Genomic DNA, 25,802 nt, shown 5'->3' with positions numbered 1-25,802 from the left:
TCCTTGTGACAGTTTGCTGAGAATGATGGTTTCCTGCTTCATCCATGTCCCTGCAAAGGACATGAGCTCATCCTTTTAATGGCTGCATAGTATTCCATGGTGTATATGTGCCACATTTTCTTAATCCAGTCTATCACTGGTGGACATTTGGGTTGGTTCCAAGTCTTTGCTATTGTGAATAGTGCCACAATAAACATACGTGTGCATGTGTCTTCATAGTAACATGATTTATGATCCTTTAGGTATATACCCAGTAATGGGATGGCTGGGTCAAATGGTATTTCTAGTTCTAGATCCTTGAGGAATCGCCACACTGTCTTCCACAATGGTTGAACTAATTTATGCTCCCACAAACAGTGTAAAAGCATTCCTATTTCTCCACGTCCTCTCCAGCATCTGTTGTTTCCTGACTTTTTAATGATCGCCATTCTAACTGGCTTGAGATGGTATCTCACTGTGGTTTTGATTTGCATTTCTCTGATGACCAGTGAGGATGAGCATTTTTTCATGTGTCTGTTGGCTAGATAGATGTCTTCTTTTGAGAAGTGTCTGTTCATAACCTTTGCCCACTTTTTGATGGGATTATTTGTTTTTCTCTTGTAAATTTGTTTAAGTTCTTTGTAGATTTTGGATATTAACCCTTTGTCAGATGGGTAGATTGCAAAAATTTTCTCGCATTCTGTAGGTTGCCTTTTCTTTTGCTGTGTGGAATCTCTTTAGTTTAATTAGATCCCATTTGTCTATTCTGGCTTTTGTTGCCATTGCTTTTGGTGTTTTAGTCATGAAGTCTTTGCCCATGCCTATGTCCTGAATGGTATTGCCTAGGTTTTCTTCTAGGATTTTTATGGTGTTAGGTCTTACATTAAAGTCATTAAGCCATCTTGAGTTAATTTTTGTATATGGTGTGAGGAAGGGATCCAGTTTCAGCTTTCTACATATGGCTAGCCAGTTTTCCCAGCACCATTTATTAAATAGGGAATCCTTTCCCCATTGCTTGTTTTTGTCAGGTTTGTTGAAGATCAGATGGTTGTAGATGTGTGTTGTTATATCTGAGGCCTCTGTTCTGTTCCATTGGTCTATATATCTGTTTTGGTACCAGAATCATGCTGTTTTGTTTACTGTAGCCTTGTAGAATAATTTGAAGTCAGATAGCATGATGCCTCCTGGTTTGTTCTTTTTGCTTAGGATTGTCTTGGCTCCACAGGCTCTTTTTTGGTTCCATATGAATTGTAAAGTAGTTTTTCCAATTCTGTGAAGAAAGTCAGTGGCAACTTGATGGGGATAGCATTGAATCTATAAATTACCTTGGGTGGTGTGGCCATTTTCACGATATTGATTCTTCTTATCCATGAGCATGGAATGTTCTTCCATTTGTTTGTGTCCTCTTTTATTTCATTGAGCAGTGGTTTGTAGTTCTGGTTAAAGAGGTCCTTCACATCCCTTGTAAATTGGATTCCTAGGTATTTTATTCTCTTTGTAGTAATTGTGAATGGGAGTTCACTCATGTTTTGACTTTCTGTTTGTCTATTATTGGTGTATAGGAATGCTTGTGATTTTTGCAGATTGATTTTGTATCCTGAGATTTTGCTGAAGTTGCTTATCAGCTTAAGGAGATTTTGGGCTAAAATGATTGGGTTTTCTAAATATACAATCATATCATCTGCAAACAGAGACAATTTGACTTCCTCTTTTTCTAATTGATTTATGTCATTCTCTTGCCTGATTGCTCTGGCCAGAACTTCCAACACTATTTTGAATAGGAGTGGTGAGAGAGGGCATCCCTGTCTTTCGCCGGTTTTCAAAGGGAATGCTTCCAGTTTTTGCCCGTTCAGTATGATATTGGCTGTGGGTTTGTCATAAATAGCTCTTATTATTTTGAGATACATTCCATCAATACCTAGTTTATTGAGAGTTTTTAGCATGAAGGGCTGTTGAATTTTGTCAAAGGCCTTTTCTGCATCTACTGAGATAATCATGTCCTTTTTGTTGTTGGTTCTGTTTATGTGATGGATTACATTTATTGATTTGTGTATGTTGAACCAACCTGGCCTCCCAGGGATGAAGCCAATCTGATCGTGGTGGATAAGCTTCTTGATGTGCTGCTGGATTCAGTTTGCTAGTATTTTACTGAGGATTTTCACATCAATGTTCATCAGGGATATTGGCATAAAATTCTCTTTTGTTGTTGTGTCTCTGCCAGGCTTTGGTATCAAGATGATGCTGGCCTCATAAAATGAGTTAGGGAGGATTCCCTCTTTTTCTATTGATTGGAAAAGTTTCAGAAGGAATGGTACCAGTTCCTCTTTGTACCTCTGGTAGAACTCGGCTGTGAATTTGTCTTGTCCTGGACTTTTTTTAGTTGGTAGGCTATTTATTATTGCCTCAATTTCAGAACCTGTTATTGGTCTATTCAGAGATTCAACTTCTTCCTGGTTTAGTCTTGGGAAGGTGTATGTGTCCAGGAATTTACCCATTTCTTCTAGATTTTCTACTTCATTTGCGTAGAGGTGTTTATAGTATTCTCTGATGGTAGTTTGTATTTCTGTGGGATTGGTGGTGATATCCCCTTTATCATTTTTTATTGCATCTGTTTGATTCTTCTCTCTTTTCTTCTTTATTAGTCTTGCTAGTGGTATATCAATTTTGTTGATCTTTTCAAAAAACCAGCTCCTGGATTCATTGATTTTGTGAAGGATTTTTTGTGTCTCTATCTCCTTCAATTCTGCTCTGATCTTAATTATTTCTTGTCTTCTGCTAGCTTTTGAATTTGTTTGCTCTTGTTTCTCTAGTTCTTTTAATTGTGATGTTAGCGTGTCAATTTTAGATCTTTCCTGCTTTCTCTTGTGGGCATTTAGTGCTATAAGTTTCCCTCTACACGCTGCTTTAAATGTATCCCAGAGATTCTGGTACAATGTGTCTTTGTTCTCATTGGTTTCAAAGAACATCTTTATTTCTGCCTTCATTTTGTTATTTACCCAGTAGTCACTCAGGAGCAGGTTGTTCAGTTTCCACGTAGTTGAGCAGTTTTGAGTGAATTTCTTAATCCTGAGTTCTAATTTGATTGCACTGTGGTTTTAGAGACGGTTTGTTATGATTTCTGCTCTTTTACATTTGCTGAGGAGTGTTTTACTTCTAACTATGTGGTCAATTTTAGAATAAGTGGGATGTGGTGCTGAGAAGATTTGGGGTATGCAGTTCTGTAGATGTCTATTATGTCCGCTTGGTCCAGAGCTGAGTTCAAGTCCTGGATATCCTTGTTAACTTTCTCTCTTATTGATCTGTCTAATATTGGCAGTGGGGTGTTAAAGTCTATCATTATTATTGTATGGGAGTCTATGTCTCTTTGTCGGTCTCTAAGGACTTGCTTTATGATTCTGGTTACTCCTGTATTGGGTGCCTATATATTTAGGATAGTTAGCTCTTCTTGTTGAATTGATCCGTTTACCATTATATAGTGGCCTTCTTTGTCTCTTTTGATCTTGTTGGTTTAAAATCTGTTTTATCAGAGACTAGGATTGCAATCCGTGCTTTTTTTTGTTTTCCATTTGCTTGGTAGATCTTCCTCCATCCCTTTATTTTGAGCCTATGTGTGTCTCTGCATGTGAGATGTGTCTCCTGAATACAGCACACTGATGGGTCTTGGCTCTTTATCCAATTTTCCAGTCTGTGTCTTTTAATAGGGACATTTAGCCTATTTACATTTAAGGTTAATATTGTTATCTTTGAATTTGACCCTATCATTATGTTAGCTGGTTATTTTGCCTGTTAATTCCACAGTTTCCTCATAGCGTTGATGGTCTTTACAATTTGGCATGTTTTTGCAGTGGCTGGTACCGGTTGTTCCTTTCCATGTTTAGTGCTTTCTTCAGGAGCTCTTGTAAGGTAGGCCTGGTGGTGACAAAATCTCTCAGCATTTGCTTGTCTGTAAAGGATTTTATTTCTCCTTCATTTATGAAGCATAATTTGGCTGGATATGAGATTCTGGGTTGAAAATTCTTTTCTTTAAGAATGTTGAATATCGGCCCCCACTCTCTTCTTGCTTGTAATGTTTCTGCCAAGAGATCCACTGTTAGTCTAATGGGCTTCCCTTTGTGGGTAACCCAACCTTTCTCTCTGGCTGCCCTTAACATTTTTTCCTTCATTTCAACCTTGTTGAATCTGATGATTATGTGTCTTGGGGTTGCTCTTCTTGAGGAGTATCTTTGTGGTGTTCTCTGTATTTCCTGAATTTGAATGTTGGCCTGCCTTGCTAGATTCGGGAAGTTCTCCTAGATAATATCCTGAAGAGTGTTTTCTAACTTGGTTCATTCTCCCTGTCACTTTCTGGTACACCAATCAAATGTATATTTGGTCTTTTCACATAGTCCCATATTTCTTGGAGGCTTTGTTCATTTCTTTTCACTCTTTTTTCTCTAATCTTGTCTTCTTGCTTTATTTCATTTATTTGATCTTCCATCACTGTTATCCTTTCTTCCACTTGATCAAATCAGCTATTGATGCTTGTGCATGCATCATGAGGTTCTTGTGCTTTGGTTTTCAGTTCCATCAGGTCATTTAAAGTCTTCTTTACACCGTTTATTCTAGTTAGCCATTTGTCTAACCTTTTTTCAGGGTTTTTAGCTTCCTTGAGATGGGTTAGAATATGATCCTTTAGCTCAGAGGAGTTTGTTATTCCAACCTTCTGAAGGCTACTTCTGTCAACTCATCAAACTCATTCTCTGTCTAGTTTTGTTCACTTGCTGGCGAGGAGCTGCAATCCTTTGGAGGAGAAGAGGCATTCTGGTTTTTGGAATTTTCAGCTTTTCTGCAGTGGTTTCTCCCATTTTTTTGGTTTTATCTACCTTTGGTCTTTGATGTTGGTGACCTATACAGATGGGGTTTTGGTGTGGATGTCCTTTTCGTTGCTGTAGATGCTATTCCTTTCTGTTTATTAGTTTTCCTTCTAACAGTCAAGCCCCTCAGCTGCAGGTCTGCTGGAGTTTGCTGGAGGCCCACTCCAGACCCTGTTTGCCTGGGTATCACTAGTAGAGGCTGCAGAACAGCAAATATTGCTGCCTGATCCTTCCTCTGGAAGCTTTGTCCCAGAGGAGCACCCACCTCTTTGAGGTGTCTGTTGGCCCCTACTGGGAGATGTCTCCCAGTCAGGCTACACAGGGGTCAGGGACCTGCTTGAGGAGGCAGTCTGTCTGTTCTTGGAGCTCAAACGCTGTGCTGAGAGAACCACTGCTTTCTTCCGAGCTGTCAGACAGGGACATTTAAATCTGCAGAAACTGTCTGCTGCCTTTTGTTCTGCTATGCCCTTCCCCCAGAGGTGGAATCTAGAGAGGCAGTAGGCCTTGCTAAGCTGCAGTGGGCTCCACCCATTTGGAGCTTCCCGGCTGCTTTGTTCACACTGTGAGCTACTCAAGCCTCAACAGTGACGGATGCCCCTCCCCCCGTCAAGCTGCAGCATTGCATGTTGATCTCAGACTGCTGCACTAGCAGTGAGCAAGGATCCGTGGGTGTGGGACCCACCAAGCCAGGCAAGGGAAGGTATCTCCTGGTCTGCCAGTTGCTAAGACTGTGGGAAAAGTGCAGTATTTGATCAGGAGTGTACCATTTCTCCAGGTACAGTCTGTCACAGTTTCCCTTGGCTAGGAAGGGGAAATCCCCCAACCCCTTGCACTTCCTGGGTGAGGCAACACCCCGCCCTGCTTCAGCTCGCCCTCTGTGGGCTGCACCCACTGTCCAACCAGTCTCAATGAGATGAACCAGGTACCTCAGTTGGAAATGCAGAAATCACCCATCTTCTGCATCGATCTCACTGGGAACTGCAGACCAGAGCTCTTCCTATTCAGCCACCTTGGACACCAGTGAAGTTTTTCTATGTGCTAGGCATGTGCCTGTAGTCCCAGGTACTCGGGAGGCTGAGGCCAAAGGATTGCTAGAGCCTAGGTGTTTGAGACCAGCCTTGGCAAGATAGTGAGACCCTGTCTTCAAATATGTATATATATAGACACACATGCACACACACGAAGTTTCTATTTTATGTAGAGCTCAGTATGAAGCACTTCAAAGCATTAAAGAATCTGATGACTTAATACACTAATATTTCTTATTCAGTGAAACATTCACCTGACCAAAGTGATTAACAACTTCTGCTAAGTTGTGGGCTCCAATTTTGCAAGAACTGTGTGTTAATCATCTTTATGTATCCCATAATACTTGGCAGACTATTTCACAAATAGTTGGTTTTACAATCACTATTTTATATATTACTCTTACTAAGTATTATTTTCTTCCTTACAACTAAAGTTCAGAGCCAAAGTGGAAGGCCATATCAGATCCAAATCTATTCATTTTTCTTGTTTGAGTTTTGTAGCCAATACAGAGATATTTGCATTACTTCAGTATTGACACCAAATGTGTGTGGAGCCCCCAGACACACACAAACACATACACACACATATATATACATATATATGTATATAGCTGGGCCTATACAGCTGGGTATAATGACTATTTTAGTGTAAGGCAGGCACAGTTGAAAAGTATGTGAATTTTGTGACAAACACACAGGAACACACCCCAAACAAAAAAGGCTGGTGATTCATTTTGATATTCTCAGTTGACATATTTGAAAAGTTATGAAAGAGCCCCAAATCTTACCATCCTTGCAATTTTCTTCTTTTTTAACTTTTATTTTATGTTCAGGGATACAAGTATGTTTGCTGCATAGGTAAACTTGTATCATGGAGGTTTGTTGTCCAGATTATTTCATCACCCAGGTATTAAGCCTAGTACCCATTATTTTTCCTGACTCTCTCCCTCCTCCCACCCTCCATCCTCCAAAAGATATCAGCGTGTGTTGTTCCCCTCTGTGTGTCCATGTGTTCTCGTCATTTAGCTCCCACTTATAAGTGAGAACATGCAGAATTTGGTTTTCTGTTCCTGTGTTAGTTTGCTAAGGATAATGGTCTCCAGCTCCATCCATGTCCCTGCAAAGGATATAATCTCATTCTTTTTAATGGTCAAAGCTGGAAGCATTCTCCTTGAAAATCAGCACAAGACAAGCATGCCCTCCTTATTCCTATTCAACATAGTATCAGAAGTTCTGGCCAGTGCAGTCAGGCAAGAGAAAGAAAGAAAGGGCATCTGCTATGGTTTGGCTGTGTTCCCACCCAAATCTCATCTTGAATTGTAATCCTGATATGTCAAGGGAGGGACCTAGTGGGAGGTGATTGGATCATGGGGTTGGTTCCCAGCATGCTGTTTTCATGATAGTGGGTGAGTTCTCACGAGACCTGATGGTCTTAGAGTGTGGCAATTCCCCCTTTACTGTGTCTCTCTCCTGCTGCCATGTAAGATGTGCCTTGCTTCCCCTTTGCCTTCCACCATGATTGTAAGTTTCCTGAGGCCTCCTCAGCCATGCGAAACTGCGAGTCAGTTAAACCTCTTTTCTTTATAAATAACCCAGTCTCAGGTAGTATCTTTACAGCAGTGTGAAAAACAGCATCCAAATAGGAAGAGAGGAAGTCAAACTATCCCTGTTTGCAGATGGCATGATCCTATATCTAGAAAACCCAATAGTATTATCCTTGCAGTTTTGTACTGAAGCAAAACTGAATGAACTACCTGCATCATTACAACTGCTAACATTAGGGAATTTTTCTCAAAATGTGGTCTACAAATCACTTGCATCAGAATCACTTCCAGCGCTGGTGAAAAATGAAGATTCCTCGGCTCCATGCTACTAAATCAGTATTTCTGGAGGCAGAGCTCAACAAATATGCCTTTTAAACAAGCAATCCAAGTGACTCTTAAGACCAGGAAAGTTGGAGAATGATTGTTTTATGGTGGATTGGCCTGGGTGGCTAAGAAGTAACATTGCAATCACTAAAAAGAATATGCAGGTCTAAGTGACACCCTGGTAGGAGTACCTTGCTTGTTTCTCTTATGTTGGAACAAGTGAGAAGTTATTCTAACTCGGCTGGGCCCCATGTTAATTAAGTGATAATTTTTAAAAAGGTCAAGCAATACTTTTTTTCTGAAATACAGGTTTGCATTAGATTTTAAAACTGAAAAATTAAGAAACAATTCTCAAAATTTCATACATATGTTTAGTGACCCAAGTATGATATTAGCTCCAAGATAGACTATGTAGCCAGTTCTCTCACATAGAAATGCTGACAAACACTGAGGACTTTGCCAAAACCCAACGAACCAGCCTAGCAACATATGTTGCCACGTAATTCTTTCAGGCCTGCTTACAGAATAATTTCAGGGATATTGTAAGAATACAGATCTTTGATTGATGTGAAGGTAAGAATTTCTTTTCTTATCAACTTTACTCATTCTATCTTTATTCAAAGATAGAGTGGCTGCCCCGTGTGATAGTAAGTTCCTCAATACTGAGGATATTCAAGCTAGGAGTGCTTCTGTGCTGGAATGGTGTTTCATGCATGAAGTCCACAGCTAGACTTAGGTAACATTGGATATTAATGTTCTAAAATTCTTCAAACATATAGTGCCATTGAGCCATAAAAATATAATACACATGATTATTAAAAGTAAAAATAAATGTTAAAAGTGCCACTTGGACAAAGCTGCCTCTTAAGGGCATTTTAGTGGTAAACAAATACACAAATTATTTTTTCTTCTCTTTCTACCTATCATATTGCCATCCTACCTACTGACTTTATTTATCATTTTTCTACAGTGGTAGTTAAAATGAAAGTGGAGACTCAGTCCCCAAAGAATCATTGTTATTAACAGAGGCTGGCTCTGTGTGTGCCTCAATTTTTACCTCTTCATCACACACTACTTACGTGCTAAGTGATTGACCATGGCATGTACCATTCCACTTGGCCATTAGGCTAGTTGTGAATTACAGTTTTGCTGAGTTGCAGTTTTTTCCCTCTCAAGGGTAGGTTTAATTAGAGGTGTGATAAACAACCCTGTGAAAATGGCATTCCACAAGTAATATTTTGGGTACTGAGTGTGGTTGGTAAATCACATGGTAAAAAAAAAAAAAGTCAGACAGACATGAATTCAAATCTTGGCTCTGTTATTTACCAGCTGCTTGATCTTAGGTGACTTACTCAGTTTCCCCATTGACAGAAATGAGAATACTAATAGAGGATGAGTGTAGAGATGCACGATGGCATATACATAAAAGTCTAACATATGCAGATACATATTAAATTTTAGCTCTCACCTTGTCCTATTGTGATGCAGACATTGTGTTTGCTGCTGTGGTCATACCAAAATAAATACACGTAAGCCCTGTCTGTAAGAATCTTAGAATGTCAGCTGATCTTACAATCTTAATGTTAAATTCACTGTATTCCCAGGAATTGTTGTGGTGTGTCAGTTGGAATACAGGTCATGATAAATGCACCAGTCAATTGGTACCAGAGAAGAGCAGTTACTAAAAGAGAGCATAAAATTCCAGAGTACCCTGGCACAGAAAGAAGAAAAGTCTAATACACATTGATTTAAGTGGTCTAAGTTATTTTGATGAAATCTGATCATACTGCTTTTGCTTGACAATTGGGAAGGGACAGGCAATGAAATTAATGGGAGGTAAATTTAAAATGAGCAAGAGGAAACACCGTTTTATGTAGTATGTGTTGTCTATCTGCAAAATTTTGCTTTGGGAGGATACTAAGTCAAGTGCTATGCCTAGCTCTAACAGAGCTCTGTAGTTTTTTGAACACTTATGTTTGTTGCTTAAGACCTCTTAAGACAATTGGGAGAATAAAATCTTAAGCAATGGAGATGAAGGATCAAAGGTCAACATTACATTTGGATTCTCTTGCCTATTTTGTCTCAGCATTTTTTTTGTTGTCCCCACCCCTACACATTTCTAATGTCAGATATTTTATAAACAAAATATTTATTGGATCAGGAAAAGATTTGGAGGTCTCTCATCTTTATTCCTATAAATATGAACCCACTCAAAGTTTGAGCAGTCTCTATGGGTCATCAACTAGTTTTACTAATAGAAATCAGTTTCCTCTTTTTCCTACCACCCCAATTTTCTCAGCAATTGTGTAGTAGTTTGAAACTTATCTAGCAACGTCAACTGTCCAGGACTAAGACAGAAATAAGAGTAAATATAATTTCCTGAATTTGTTTGAGGTCAGTCCTTTTGATTCTCAGAACTTATTAATTCATAAGTTTTACAAACAACACTTCTGTTTTCCCACTTGAAATCAGACTCAAATGCCAAACAAATCAGTATTGGTGTAGGATTCAATTATATTCAATGCCTCATATTGTGCAGAACACCCTGTTCTTCAGCAAAGCTGGATATGTGATGTGATAATATATTCTACATCATCATGCACTCTCAGGTTTGCATTTTTAGAATCCTTTCAGATAACAGGTTTTGAAGTTAGATGGACCTGGTCTCAAGTCCCAGTTTTGCAATTTCTGACCTCCCTGATGTCAACTTCCTCACCTAGAAACTCAGATTTTTAATAACCACCCTATAAGACTGTAGCAAGATTAAATTATACACTGTACTACTACAGTTTAGGTATCCCTTATCTGAAATGCTTGTGACCGGAAGTGTTTCAGATTTCAATTATTTTTGGATTTGGAATGTTTGCATATATATAATGAAACATCTTGTAGTTGGGACCCAAATCTAAACATGAAATTCATTTGTTATTTATATACACCTTCTATACAAAGCATGAATGTAATTTTATACAATATTTTTAATAATTTTGTGCACAAAACAAAATTTTGACTGTATTTTGACTGTGGCTTGTCAAAATACAGTCAAAATTTTCTACTTGTGGTGTCATGTAGGTGTTCAAAAAATTAGATTTGGGAGCATTTCGGATTTCAGATTTTCAGGTTGGGAATTCTCAACTTTATAGCCTGAAACATAGCTGGTAATTCATAAATATAATTTTCTTGCCTTTTTATCAGAGTATGCATGGCTTCTCTTTCTCATTAGAGTGCATGCTCCACAGAAAGATGCTTGGGAAACCTTGCTTATCTTTTGATCACTGAGGATTGTAGTTAAGGTATAATTACTCATATTCTAAGTTGCTTTCATGTGGAATCTTTTCTGAAGTTTTATTTCTTTAACCATTGTCATTGCAATCATAAGAAAGTGCTTTCAAGTTAGGAAATTTACCACCTTCACTGGAACTACTTCAAATACTCACACTTTTCTAAGAATCAGGTTGAATATCTTCTTGATGGGATGGAGGATCACTTAAGTAAAGTGGAGGCAGTAATTGGCTCCACGGGACGTGCTTGTCATTACACAAGAGCAAACATGCAGAGTAATCAAGCGCTCAGGCTTCACAATACAAGGGTGACAGATAATCTCATAAACACCCTCCTATTTCTAAACCAGTTTTAATAATCTTGTTACATTGAACTGACTGCAAGATATATGGACTATATTAGATTAATCTCAAGTGCATTCGTATAAAAATAGTTAAGTAGTTAAAATGTATTTTTAAGGCTGGCATTTTCTTCTTATACTTAAGGTTAAATTGTATTCATTTGTCAATATATAAATGCCATCTAGATTTTAATTATAAATGAAAGCTATTAAAATTAATTCCTAAGGAATTTTATTATAGAGTACATTGTCTATATTGGATAGATAAAGCATAGTTCTTAGACAATTTGCTGGAAAATACATAGCTCTGAAATCAGTGGCTAACACTTATCCTACAGCCTTGCTTTCTAAGCTTTTGCTTCTCTTCTTCCTGGGATCTGAGGGGCAGGTCACAGTTCAGAGTCCCTCACCGCAGCAGAGACCCACCCATAGAGAGTTTCTAGGACCTTAGGAACTCACTAAGGCAGAGTAAATGCTCTCTGGCTTCCTGATCCAAGCTCCTCTTTCCCTGGGTCTGCAAGAACAGGCAGAGCTCTTTCTCCTAAATATGTCCCTTTCTCCTAAAAGAGCCTCTTTCTAAGTAGAGGAGAGCAAACATCTTCACAGCCCTGGAAACTGCTCCTGCTTGATGTCTGGGTTGCTTCCAAGCCCCTCATGTTTGCTTATGTAGCTCTGGGTCTGCATCAGGAGGTACTTTGTCACCAGTGCAGCTGATAGCTATCCTCCTAAGTGGCAATATCACCCACCAAACTCTAGGGAAACATTTTTTTTTAAATGTATTTACAATCTCCTTATTACAGAACTAAAAAAAAGGATGCTAAAATGTACTCCATTCTTAACTGTGTATCAGATGATGTGCAGTTTACTACTGTCAACATTTTTTGTATTCAATTCTCAAAACAACTCACTCAGTGAAGTATTATTATGCCCATTTTATAGATGAAGAAGAGCTCAGAAGAATAAGTAGCTTGTTGACTTCTCAGCTGCTTCAAACCCTGATTTTTCTTTTCCTGAAGTCCATACTCCTTTCAATAAAATATGCTGCTGACATAGAATAACAGAAGCTAGTCCATTTCTTCTTTCTGTTAGGTCAAATCATACAGACATGCACTAAAGAGAGCCATCTGAGGGGGTGTAAGTAGAGAACCAGCCTTCTCTTAGCAAAGCATAACTACCAGCATGGAAGGCTTCAGCTAACACCCCACAGCCCTCCCAAAACACAGGCCACATAGTCATGTATGTAAATGAGTCATAGCCCTGAACATATCCTATGTCCCAAAAGTGAATGCACAAACTCTAATGACGACCTAGGTTTCACTTATTTTCAGAGGAGAAATTTTCCTTGCCTCCAGTCATATTCTTTGTTCCATGAACTGTTAAATTTCACATAAAAGCTTCTCTGAAACGCTTTGCAACAGGCATATTATATTTTTGATTTTTATTTCTTTTTACAGTACTATTTTTAATAGAAGCAACTGGGGAAGGTAGGTAGTAGAATACATTAGCACACAAGCATGCTATTTTATCTAAATCAAGAGAGGATTTATTTTTATTATTATTTTATATAACATTTTACTGACTTTTTTCAGATAGATTAAATCTAAGGAATCACTTAATAATAGGATACCCATGTAAAAATGTGAATTTCAGTAATTGTTAGGCTAGCATGTGCTAACTAATCTTTATCAAGAGATCTTGTTTAATCAAACGATTGTGTTCTTAGCACCACAGACGCTAAAATGTATTTAGCACCATACATTCTAACTAGTGTTTAAAAGCAAAAATAACATGCATAATATAAATTTTGATCTTTCAAATACCGCTGAGATTCTCTAGTATTCTAAAATTAGAGATAATATTCATTGTGATATTTGGTTTCCCTTAAGTGTAAAATAGTTGAGTATTATTCTGTGGTCTAATATTTGCTTATGACGTATCAATGGTTTAAAAATGGTACAGTTTTCAATTCAACAAAATATCTAACCCTCCAGAAGGGGCCTAGGGAGATGAGCAAGTGAAATCGCCCATTAGTAGTAGAATATTTTTCATGTCTCTGATATATGATCAACCAACATCAACTAACATCTGCTAACATACTTCCCATGATGATAAGCTCACTGCTTCCAGAGATAATATATTCTATCACTGAGACACTCAAGTTGTTGAAAACTTATTTTGTTGGGTCAAAAGTATGTCACCTAGGTTTGAATCTCACTATATCAATTATTGGCAGTGTCACCTTGTGCAAATCATTTCATCAGTCTGAATTTCACTTCTTCATATGGAAAACAGCTATAATAAATAATATCTACTTCAATATTATTGGGAGGCTGTAATTAATAAGGAAGTAGTTAACTATATTCCTGGTACATAGCAGATCTTAACAGATGACTTTTTTTTTCCTTGGACTTCTCTTTTCTTTTCCATCTATTATTTTCTTAAAAGAAAAATTTTTCCAAACTATGGATAATGATTTCATATTTCCAGTATATATAAGTGTCTTGAGGATAGGAATGATGCTTACTTGATAGAATATACCCCTTGCACATTCACAATAAAGCTAGAAACCACTTGCAAATGTCTTCTTTGTAGACACTTAAAAAATACTAATTGTATGGTTTACATATAATTGTTAGCGCATTTTCTAAAATCTACCATTAGTGACCTCATACCGGCAACAGAAGAAGAAGTAAAAGTAATTGGAAGTAATTTGTAAGATAAATAGTAGATTTTTATAAGTCATAGATCATCATAAAGATGGTTTTTAGATACAAATTTATTTGCCCAAAATATAATGAAGAATTAAGTGACCAGTGTAGGGCACTTACCCATGAGAAAAACTTTGTATCTGTTATTGGTTGATTCTATGGTCTTCTGTTCTAATAGCAAAGGAATTGTCATCCACTAGTGTTTTTGATACTGAAGTGTAAACTTCCAGGGAGTTAGGAAATTAAATATTTTATAATTAAATATCACATATAGGAATATATCCTAAGGAAGCAATTGAACAGGAGCAAAAAATGCACATATAAAGATATTCATTTCAGCATTGTTTATGGTTGTTTAAAAAATAGAATCAAATCAAATGACCATTAATAGAAAATTTAAAAAAGAAATTACACTAATTCCTGATGATAAAATGTTAAACACCTAATTTAAAATGACATTGTATCTATATATATTACCACAGAAATATAGCCATAATTTGTTACTAAATGAAAGCAGCAGATAATAAAGTAAGATATTAGCCCATTTTTGAATACACATACATGCAAAAAAAATCTGAAAGGACATATGCAAAAAGTCTAACAGTGGATATCTCTGAGTAAGATTATCAGTGGTTTTTATTTTCTGCTCTCTCTTTTTCTAAATTTTCTAAGCTTTTAACAGTGAGTATACATTAATTTTATTTTCATTGTCTAAATTATTTAATAAAGAAGTATATCCAAATTTAGTAAACAAATATAATGGTAAGCAAATAAAATATTTATATGGACGTATATGTACATATATATACATTCATAGGTGAAGCACAAAACTTTATAGGTATCAATGCTGAAAATAAGGTAAAATTTCCTAAGTGAATACTGTTTGTGAATATATGATTACATCTTTTTATCAGTTTTGAGTCAAAATAGTTGTGTTTCAGTGGTTTCAGAAAAGGGAGTCATTGGACTTGTTTTTATTTTTATTTTTAATAAACCCCTGGTCAAAATAATATGTTCTTTTGTTTATGTTCTTGTTGTATGTATATCCTAGTGACTTTCTAGTCTTCGTCTATGTGCACATTCAATTTTTATGTATTAATAATTTTATGGATAAAAGTTTTGCAATCTTCACTTTCACATACCATTTTACCAAATTCTATTTTGCTTCCTTTTTTCTTACTCCTTTTTTTACCCTTCTTGTAAATGTTCAATGTTAGTGTGGTGTATATGCTTCCACTCATTTCTCCAATTTCATTCAATCACATACAGATAGAAGATAAATAAATCAATATAGATAGATAGATAGATTGACAAATATTGTTTGTATTTTAAGAACATGAAATCATGCCATATACAGTTCTCTGACACTCATTCTTCTCATTTAACAATAAATCATAGCTGTACCTTACTTTACTTTAGTAAAGTAAATAACTTATGAAACAAAATTGCATTCGTGAACTTCATTGTCAAAGAGGAAAAGAGCTCAGAGATCTGATTGCTACTCCTCCGTCTGCACCAACTTACTGTATGACTTAAAAAAACAACCCCTTAGAATAACCCTCAATTTCCTCATTTGAAAATGAAACAGTAGGGCTAGATCTTTTCCAGCTCTATAATTCCATGGCTCATACTTTTATCTTCTGTTTTATGAGTTATGCTTTGGTAGAATGTCCTCCTTTAAAGCTTTTCAAATCTCAATTTTGTAAAGACAAATGACCAATAAATCTCAAGTATTTCAATGAGGTTCTTCTAGGGATATTGCCAGATCATCATTTTACAATGTTTTTTAAATATATTAAATATATTAATATAACAAATACATAATGTAAGTGATATGTGTCTGTAAGATAGATAAGTTCTTTACTATAAGCAAAAGTGACTTTCACCTAAGTGTCTCAACTCTCTTAATTAACCTTACGCTGATTTGTAGGAGACTTACATGACTAGCTGCAATTATGTGCTCATTAGTGATACAAATGGTAAGAAGAGTTTCTCTTATTATACTTAGCTTGCTTCTTGGCTCCACTAAGCTTTTTATAAGAATTTATGTGACAAACAAGTAGTTAGCCTTTTGATGGTATATACTTTTCATGAGGTTGCAGATCCCGGCCAGATGCTCACAATTGCCCATTTCTTGCCCACTGACTTGGCTTGATCAAGATTTAATCAGACATCTCTCCTCCCCACAGGCTCCTGACTTTTGGCTTGCCCCAAATCTGAGCAAACACTAAAATGTAAACATCCCACTGTGTTAGGCTGTTCTTGCCTTACTATAAAGAAATACCTGAGACTGAGTGATTTATAAAGAAAAGAGGTTTAATTGGCTCACGGTTCTGCAGGCTTTACAGGAAGCATGTTCCTGGCATCTGCTCGCGTTCTAGGGAAGCCTCAGAAAGCTTACAATCATGGTAGAGGGTGTCAAAGCGGGAGCAGGCACTTTGTATAGCAAATGTAGGAGCAAGCGAGAGAGGGGGGAGGTACCAAACACTTTTAAGCAACTAGATTTTGTGAGAACTCACTCACTGTCATGAGAATAGCACCAAGGGGATGATGGTAAACCATTCATGAGAAATCCACTCCCATGATCCAGTAACCTCCCACCAGGCCCCACCTCCAACACTGAGGATTACAATTCAATGTGAAACTGAACAATACACTAGGGAACAAAAACACTAGCTATATCACCCTACCTTAACAGTTCATTCCAAATTAGCTGATCACAGCAACATTTCCTGTTATATCATCCCCATCATGATGTCTGCTTAGCTCCGCCCTGTCACTCAATTTTACCTCTAAGTTTCTGCTAGTTCTGTTTAGCCGTCCCTATAAAAGAAAAACCTTTTTGATTGATTTTTGAGTGGCTTGAAAATCCTAAGGGAGGAACATTCTCCAGGTTGATGTAGTTTTTTTACGTCTCACCGTGTCTAAGTCTGGATTTGTTTTATTGACGGTACAAAAAGTTCTTAGTCTTCCTTTGGTTCACCTTCTAACTTCTCACCCAATTACCCTTTCCCTTTTAGTATTAATCATACCACAAAGGACATTTCCACGGTTTTATCTCTCAAAGATGATACTCACTGGTTTTCTCTGCTGTAGCCATCAATTAGGAAAATGAATACGTTTGTCCGTGTGACATGTGTATTATATTCCTATGATAATCAGAACTGTAGATGTGATATAATTATATATGTAAGATATATACCCTAGACAATATACACATTGATTCTTGTGTCAACTTCTGATATAATTCTGTATCAAACAAGAATTTCCATAGAAAATTCCACTATTATCTCTTTGGATCACACCAAATGTGCACAATCATAAAACATACGTGAAATACCAGGGCTCATTTTAACACAAGCAAATGTTGTATAATACCAAATACCTATCATCTACTGTTACTGACACATGAAATGGTTGTGATAGTGATGTCAAACTTTTATTATAAGAATAAAAGAAAGAAAACAGGACTCTATTACCCTGTGCACTTACAGCAGAAATTTCTTCTCTGGAAGCTACTCAAGAGATTAAATAGATCATTTGCACCTGGTATACTATTGTTAGTTCTTTCAATGGACTAAATGCTCATGTTCCTTAGAATGGACTCTGTATGTTTATACTCTGCCTATCTTCAAAACAGATTTGAGGAGGCTTATAAAAAAAGATATAATTACAGTAAAATAAAAATCCATTGAAACGGTAGTAAAAGGTATGAACTAGATAGTATAAAAGGAAAAATGTAAAAAGGAGAACAAAGAAAATAATCCATGTATTAGGGTTCTCTAGAGGGACAGAACTAATAGGATGGATGGGGAGTTTATTAAGGAATATTGACTCACATGATCACAAGGTGAAGTCCCACAATATGCTGTCTGCAAGCTGAGAAGCGAGGAAGCCAGTCCAAGTCCCAAAATCTCAGAAGTACGGAAGCCGACAGTGCAGCCTTCAGTCTGTGGCCGAAGGCCCAAGAGCCCCTAGCAAATCACTGGTGTAACTCCAAGAGTCCAAAGCTGAAGAACCTGGAGTCTGTTGTTTCAGGGCAGGAAGCATTCAGCACAGGAGACAGATGAAGGCCGGAAGACTCAGCAAGTCTGCCCATTCCACTTTATTCTGCCTGCTTTTTTGTAGCCACGCTGGCAGCTGATTAGATCGTGCCCACCCAGATTGAGGGTGATCTGCCTCTCCCAGTCCACTGACTCAAATGTTACTCTCCTTTGGCAACACCCTCACGGAGACACCCAGAAACAATACTTTGCATCCTTCAGTCCAATCAAATTGACATTCAGTATTAACAATCACATTTTAGAAAACCCAAATTAAGAAAAATGACTACAACTAAGACTACAACTTGACTCTGAGCTTCTTGATAATCAAGACAAAAGTGGGCTATAGAACTGTCATTATAATATTATATAATATTATATTGATAACAATATTATCAAGGCGTGTAGAGAAAGAAACTCTTTTCCAGCTTTTAAACTCTAGAAAGAATTTTCCCCATGGGTCATTTTATAAAAACTATATAGCTGTAATAGATTTGGAACAATGCTTTCATTAGAATTCAGGGAAAGGGGGAGTATGCTACCTATGATTTATATATAGCCAGGTATACAGTGATAAGTAGTGCTTCTGTAAAGACTTTTCTACTGGGATTTCTAGCTTTTTCCATGATATAAACACACATTGGTTCTGAAACATCAATGTTGTTTTTCCTTACCCTTTCAGAAAAGGCTCTCTATTTAACCTGTTCTGTGTATCAATTACTTAAGTCCCAGGAATTGAGGGATACTTGATAAAATTACACGCATGACCTAAATTTTTATGTAACAGTAATGTTGGGAGAGCCACTCACCATATGAGAAAGATTATGAGATACAGTGTCAGAAAGTTTAAGTTAAAGGCCCTGGTTTTTCGCTTACCTACTGTATGACCTGGGTTGGTCATTGCTTCATCCTTCTGAGTCTTCATTTCCTTATTCTTTAAAATAACAGTGATGATGTATTAGTCTGTTCTCTCACTGCTATAAAGAAATACCTGAGACTGCGTAATTTTTTCAGAAAATAGGTTTAATTGGCTCATGATTCTCCAGGCTTTATAGGAAGTATAGCGGCATCTGCTTCTGGGGAGGCTTCAGGGAGTTTTTACTCATGACGGAAGGCAAAGCAGAAGCATAGGCATCTTACATGGCAGGACCAGGACCAAGAGAGAGAGAAGGGGGAGGTGCTGCATACTTTTAAACAACCAGATCTCACGAGAGAACTCACTCACTATCGTAAGAACAGCACCAGGAGATGGTGCTATACCATTCATGAAGGACCACCCCCCATGATCCAGTCACCTCCCAGTCGACCCTACCTCCAACACTGGGGATTACAATTTGTCATGAGATTTTGGTGGGGACAAATGAGGTCATTTATATGAAAGCACTTATAAACTGTAAAGCTCCATTAGTTATTATTCTGTTACCTCTCCAGAAAGCTCTTTACTTTTAAATTAGAGGTCAGTGTATTCTTTTTTCTCCATGCAATTGAATACAGTTTATAAGCACTGAATAAAATCATTACTTTATATTCAAACATGGATCATTCACCCTATGGAAAGTTCCTAAAAAAAAAAATTTAAAAAATATATACAGGCATTTCTTCCTGAAAAGTGACCAGTAAAACATGTTTTCTAGTTTATTTTTATATATTAAAGAAAAATTTGTTTATTCTGTGAACAAAATTAATACAGCAGAGTTTTCCCCACTAATAAAAACAGGAACAGAGAAATTCCAGGACAATGAAGTATGACAACGAAGTGCTCACTCATGAGTGCAGAAATACAGCACACTTGGCTATAGTTCAACGTACAGTCAAACGCTTCACAGCTAGTTTGATAAAGTAGGCAGTAAATTATTTTTAAAATGATTACTAACAGCTGGCTGGTTGGGCATATAATGTGGAGTGTGGAAAGCCTGAAGGCAGACAGGCCAGCTATACTGCTGTCAAGGTCATCTAGACCAAAGATTTCCAACCCCCAGACCACAGACCAGTACCAACCAGCCCATGGCCTGTTAGAAACCTGGCTGCATAGCAGGAAGTGAGCAGCAGGTGAGCGAGCATTACCACCGGAGATCTGCATCCTGTCACATCAGCAGCAGCATTAGATTCTCATAGGAGTGCGAACCTTTTTGTGAACTGCATAGACTGTGTGCTCCTTATGAGAATCTAATGCCTGATGATCTGTCACTGTCTCCCATTACCCCCAGATGGGACCATCTAGTTGCAGGAAAACAAGTTCAGGGCTCCCACTGATTCTACGTTGTAGTGAGTTGTATAATTATTTCATTATATGTTACAATGTAATAATAATAGAAATAAAGTGCACAAAAAATGTAATGTGCTTGAATCATCCCAAAACTATCCTCCACCCTGGGCCCTGCCCATGGAAAAATTGTCTTCCATAACACCGGTCCCTGATGCCAAAAAGACTGGGGACTGCTGATTTAGACCCAAGGGAAGTTGCCAACCTAGATTTAAATGGTAGCTGTAGGAAAGGGGAAAAGAATAACTAGGAATTGTAATGTCCACTATTTAGTAATATTTAACCTTTCCTATGTCACCCACTGCTTTGAGTGTCTGATGGAAACTGTGAGGCCAATTCTAGGAAAAATGCAAACATACTTTAAAAGAAAACATTTTACTTTCAATACCTTACACATATACATGTGTATGTATGTGTGTACAGATGAGTATATGCACACACCCATGTCCACTTTGAAGGAAGAAACATGCTTGTAGGCAAAGAAAATGGAACCATTGATGAACAATTATTAATTTAAAAAAGAATTTTTCCAAGTCCCAAGAGTAAGTGCTGCAGACTTTGAATTTCCAGTGTTAGAAGTGTTCTTACCCACTTTCAGTGCTAAAAATATCACCAAAGTTTCTCAGAGAAAGATATAGAGCCTCTGTTCTGTTTGGGAAGATCAAGCATGAGATCAACAACAATTCATATCTCAATAAAAATGAGCCATATTCCAGATTTGGAAAATGATTAAATTGAACATTTCAAAGTATGAGATGTCATATAAGAGAGTTTTGTTTGTTTGTTTGTTTGTTTTTGAGACAGGGTCTCGCTCTGTCATGCTGGCTGGAGTGCAGTGGCACAATCATGGCTCACTGCAACCTCCACCTCCCCAGCTCAAAGGATCCTCCTATCTCAGCCTCCCAAGTAACTGGGATCACAGGCATGGGCCACCACACCCAGCTAATTTTTTGTATTTTTGGTAGAGATGGGGTTTTGCCGTATTATCCAGGCTGGTCTTGAACTTTTGAACTCAAGGAGATCCACCTGCCTTGGCTTCCCAAGGTGCTGGCATTACAGGCATGAGCCACCACTCCTGGCCAAGAGAGTTTTAATGTAAGAAAGTATAAAAGTTTATACAATGTTTAGTGAAGCAAATCTCCCTATAATACCTATTACCTCAGATACCCATTTCTCTTCCCAATAGGCAACCACACAGTGTCAGGTATATCCTTCCAGGGATATTTAACCGAGGTACAAGCAAATATAAAAATATATTTTTCCTCTCTTTATCTCTCATTTTTAAGCTATATAAAAAATGGTAGCATACTCTACATTCTGTTCTTTATCTTGTTTTTTTAACCCATTAATTTAATTTAATAGAGATATTTCCACAGTAGAACATAGAGCACTTTCTGGTATTTAGTTGTGTGAATGTTTTATGTGCCTGCAAAATTTTAAAAAATAATAATAATCCTATTAATATACCTTAATTTATTTAACTATCTCCCTATCAATAACAATGGTTTATATATTTTCTTATTATAAACAATGCTGCAATGAATAACCTTATTTATACATCACATATGAAGGCATATGTGTGATGGATACATTCCCAAAAGTTAAATTGCTGGTTCAGGGATGTTTGTACTTTTGATAAGTATTGCCAAATTGCCCTCCTTAGCAGTTACAATGATTTATACCATCAGCAGCAATATAAGGAAAAGTTTGTTATGTCCTGACCAATATAGCATATTATCAAATTTTTGGAACTTACATATTTGGTAGGTGAAAAGTAGTATCTTTGTGCTGTTTCTTGTATTATGAATAAAATTGAGCTTTTTTTCATATGTTTAAGTTCCATTTGTATTTCCTTTTCTCTGAACTGCCTGTTCAAAATGCCTTGGCCCATTCTGGGAGCTGCTGTTGGTCTATTTCTATTGATGTGAAGGGCAAAGGAGCTCTTTCTTATTAGCCATATAGCCCCATGAATGGATACAAGTTGTAATTATCTTTCCTCAGTTTTTCATTTACTTGCAACTTAACTTACACTGATTTTTACCATGCAAATTTTATTTTATTTTATTTTATTTTGAGATGGAGTCTTCCTCTGTCACCCAGACTGGAGTGCAGTAGCATGATCTTGGCTCACTGCAAGCTCCACCTCCCGGGTTCACGCCATTCTCCTGCCTCAGCCTCCCGAGTAGCTGGGACTACAGGTGCCCGCCACCATGCCTGGCCAATTTTTTTGTATTTTTAGTAGAGACAGGGTTTTACCATGTTAGCCAGGATGGTCTCGATCTCCTGACCTCGTGATCTGCCCACCTCAGCCTCCCAAGGTGCTGGGATTAAAGGCGTGAGCCACCGCACCCGGCCACCATGCAAATTTTTAAAATTACTTTGTAGTTTATTTAATCAAGCCTTTTTTAAATGAATGGTTTCAAAATGTTGTATTATTATTAAAAAGGCCTCCCTCACTTCCAGATTATATAAGAATCTTATTATAATTTCTTCTAGTACTTTTATGGTTTGGGTTTTTCTATATTTGATCTATGTAATTTACTGTTGTATAAGGAATGAGGTATGAATCAAACTTTATTTTTACTAGATGACTATTTAATTGTTCCTGTATTATTGAATGAATTAATAGTCCTTGTCATCCTCACTGATTAGAAATGCTGCTTTTAGGCCGGGCGCAGTGGCTCACACCTGTAATCCCAGCACTTTGGGAGGCCAAGGCAGGCGGATCACAAGGTCAGGAGATCCAGACCATCCTGGCTAACATGGTGAAACCCCGTCTCTACTAAAAATACAAAAAAATTAGCCGGGGGTGGTGGTGGGTGCCTGTAGTCCCAGCTGCTTGGGAGGCTGAGGCAGGAGAATGGTGTGAACCTGGGAGGCGGAGTTTGCAGTGAGCCGACGCCACTGGACTCCAGCCTGGGCAACAGAGCAAGACTCCATCTCAAAAAAAAAAAAAAAAAAAAGAAATGCTACTTTTATTGTATGCTTGATGCCAAATTATATTTTGTTTTTTACTTAATTTCTACTGCATTCCCTTTAGGTATCTGAATTTATTCATATTTACTCATGTGTCAACATCACATGGTTATAATTATTTACCTTTATAATGTGTCTAGGCCAGGCATGGTGGCTTACACCTGTAATCCCAGCACTTTGGGAGGCCAAGGCAGGTGGATTATGAGGTCAGGAGTTCAAGACCAGCCTGGCCAACATGATGAAACCCTGTCTCTACTCAAAATACAAAAATTAGCTGGGTGTGGTGGCATGCACCTTTAATCTCAGCTACTCTGGAGGCTGAGGCAGGAGAATCGATTGAACCTGGGAGGTGGAGGTTGTGGTGAGCCAAGATCGTGCCACTGCACTCCAACCTGGGCGACAGAGCAAGATTCCATCTCAAAAAGTAATAATAATGTGTCTAATATCCATTTTGGGAGCTCATATTCTCCTAACCAGTATGTCCTTGTTGGTACTCCAATACTTTTAAAATATTTGAACACCACTCACCACCACTCTGTTCCTTCAGGGTTTGGAGATGCCTAGTTTATCCCTAGAGGGCATGAGAATGACTGGTTCTATAGATTCATACATCAACTGGAATTTTCTTTCTAGCTAACAGCTATGCTCAAAGACTGAATTCTTAGAAAGAGGCTTTCTGAGTGGGTGGAAGATCCCAGCACACCCCTGGGACTTCAGAGACTGAAATGGCTGGTCTTCATCTGGAAGTTTCTAGAAACTAGGCATTGCTTGGAGAGTTGAGTTGACTGTCATTGTGAAAGGCATCTTTTTGTGTACTTTTTCACAAAAGCCTGTAACCTTTGACTTTTTTCTTGTGATTTTAAAGCCCAGCTAACCTGTAAGAGAGGAATATTTAACTTCTCTATAATGACTAAATGATCTGCTTGAATCTGAGCCATGTCTGTCACTCCCTACAAGGCCACTTCTTCATACTTCCTTACTTTGAAGGAAAATCTTGTTTCTTTGTCGGTGCTTATCAAATCAGCCTCCTATCCTTCCACAGAGATGAGAAGATAAGGACATTATCTTTTTTGATAATCATATTTCAAAAGGATGGTTTCTAGGTCCTTGGAAAGGGCATTTTTAGGATGTAAAATCAGTGAGAGACTGGGAGAAGATTTACATGTCAAAGGGCCAGAGACCTAATTTATAATTGCAAGTTTTGTAAAGTAAATGCTCTAAGAAAAGGGAGGTTAGGAGCCAATAGTCAGGAAGAAACCTGCCTAAAATTTAGTCAAGCTGGGCGGAACATTAACCCATAGCAAATCTATTCATTGGTGACTCATCTAGACTGGAACTACCAGATCTCTAATGAGAATTCACCCTCTTCTCTGAAGGAATCATCTGATCTCTCAGGACACCTCCACATTGTGGATTATTTGTGTCAATCAAGCTGAATTAGAGGAATTCTGCTAAATAGCATGGTTTCATATGATTTCATGTTTATGTATAATACGTATATAGGTCAGAAAATGGTTAGGAGGTGCAGGTACTCATAGAATCTTTCACATGCTATGGTATTTTGTACTAGGTTTAACAAGACTCTCCTACTTCTTAATTATAAAAGATATAGTTAGTTAACTTTTAGGTTGGCACTTATTATGAGCTTGGCACTATTAGTTCATGTAATCCTCATGAATACTCTGTGAGGTAGGTGTTACTCCCACTTTACAGACCATGAAATGGAGGGAAAGTGAGATTAAGAAACTTACCCAAGGTCATTTAAACAGAAGCAGTGAGATTCAAACCCAGTTTGATTCCAGAACCCAAGATCTTAACTTCTGTGTTAAAATGATTTGCTTTCTAATATTTCATGAATCTTTCCAGGGGGTTGGGGACAGTATTTTCTGTTTAGGAATTGTTCAGGAGGTGATATAAAAGAGTCAACTGCAAGATGCTGGAACTTAGCTTGCCTCCTTGTTTCTGAGCCTGTATACAGAAACAGAGATTGCAGAGGCTTCAGGACCTGAATACTACTGTGGCAGCCACTTAGCAAAGAATCTCATAATGTTCTGTTCTATGAATTCGTAATCAGATATTTTCCATAAAACACTGTGAAAGAATTCAATAAAGACACCTAGGGAAATTAAAATAAGCCATTTAATTCCATAATAATTCAGAGGACTTAGGGAGAAATGTCAATCAAGGTCAGGGAAACAGAAGAATCCTAGGAGAGAAAAGGTGAGAAAAATGACTTTTTTTAAATTCAAAAAGCAGAAGTTAGAAGGAGAGCATCTTTTCATCCAAGAAGCTTTGAAACTTTCATATTAGCATCCTGGTGTTAATATGGCCTCTAGAGTATGGTGCTAGATAGTCCCCTCACATCCTTGGAATCTGTGTACCCATGGTAGGACATTCTCACAAAGAGAATGTCTTCTTTTTCATGAGCCCTAATCTCTGTGCCCTTGTCTTAACATTGGGCT

The 25,802-nt window shown here is 37.6% G+C and overlaps 1 protein-coding gene across 22 annotated transcripts in view; it reads left to right on the top strand.

Annotated features, from left to right (window-relative positions):
- ANKS1B (ankyrin repeat and sterile alpha motif domain containing 1B) overlaps positions 1-25,802 on the top strand; it is a 1,250,151-nt gene that overhangs the window by 741,160 nt on the left and 483,189 nt on the right. The gene's annotated exons all lie outside the window — the stretch shown is intronic.

Source organism: Homo sapiens, chromosome 12 (genome assembly GCF_000001405.40).
Source record: "Homo sapiens chromosome 12, GRCh38.p14 Primary Assembly".
Lineage (NCBI taxonomy): Eukaryota > Metazoa > Chordata > Mammalia > Primates > Hominidae > Homo > Homo sapiens.
Note: the sequence above shows the minus strand (reverse complement) of the source record. Positions and strands in the feature narration are given on the sequence as shown.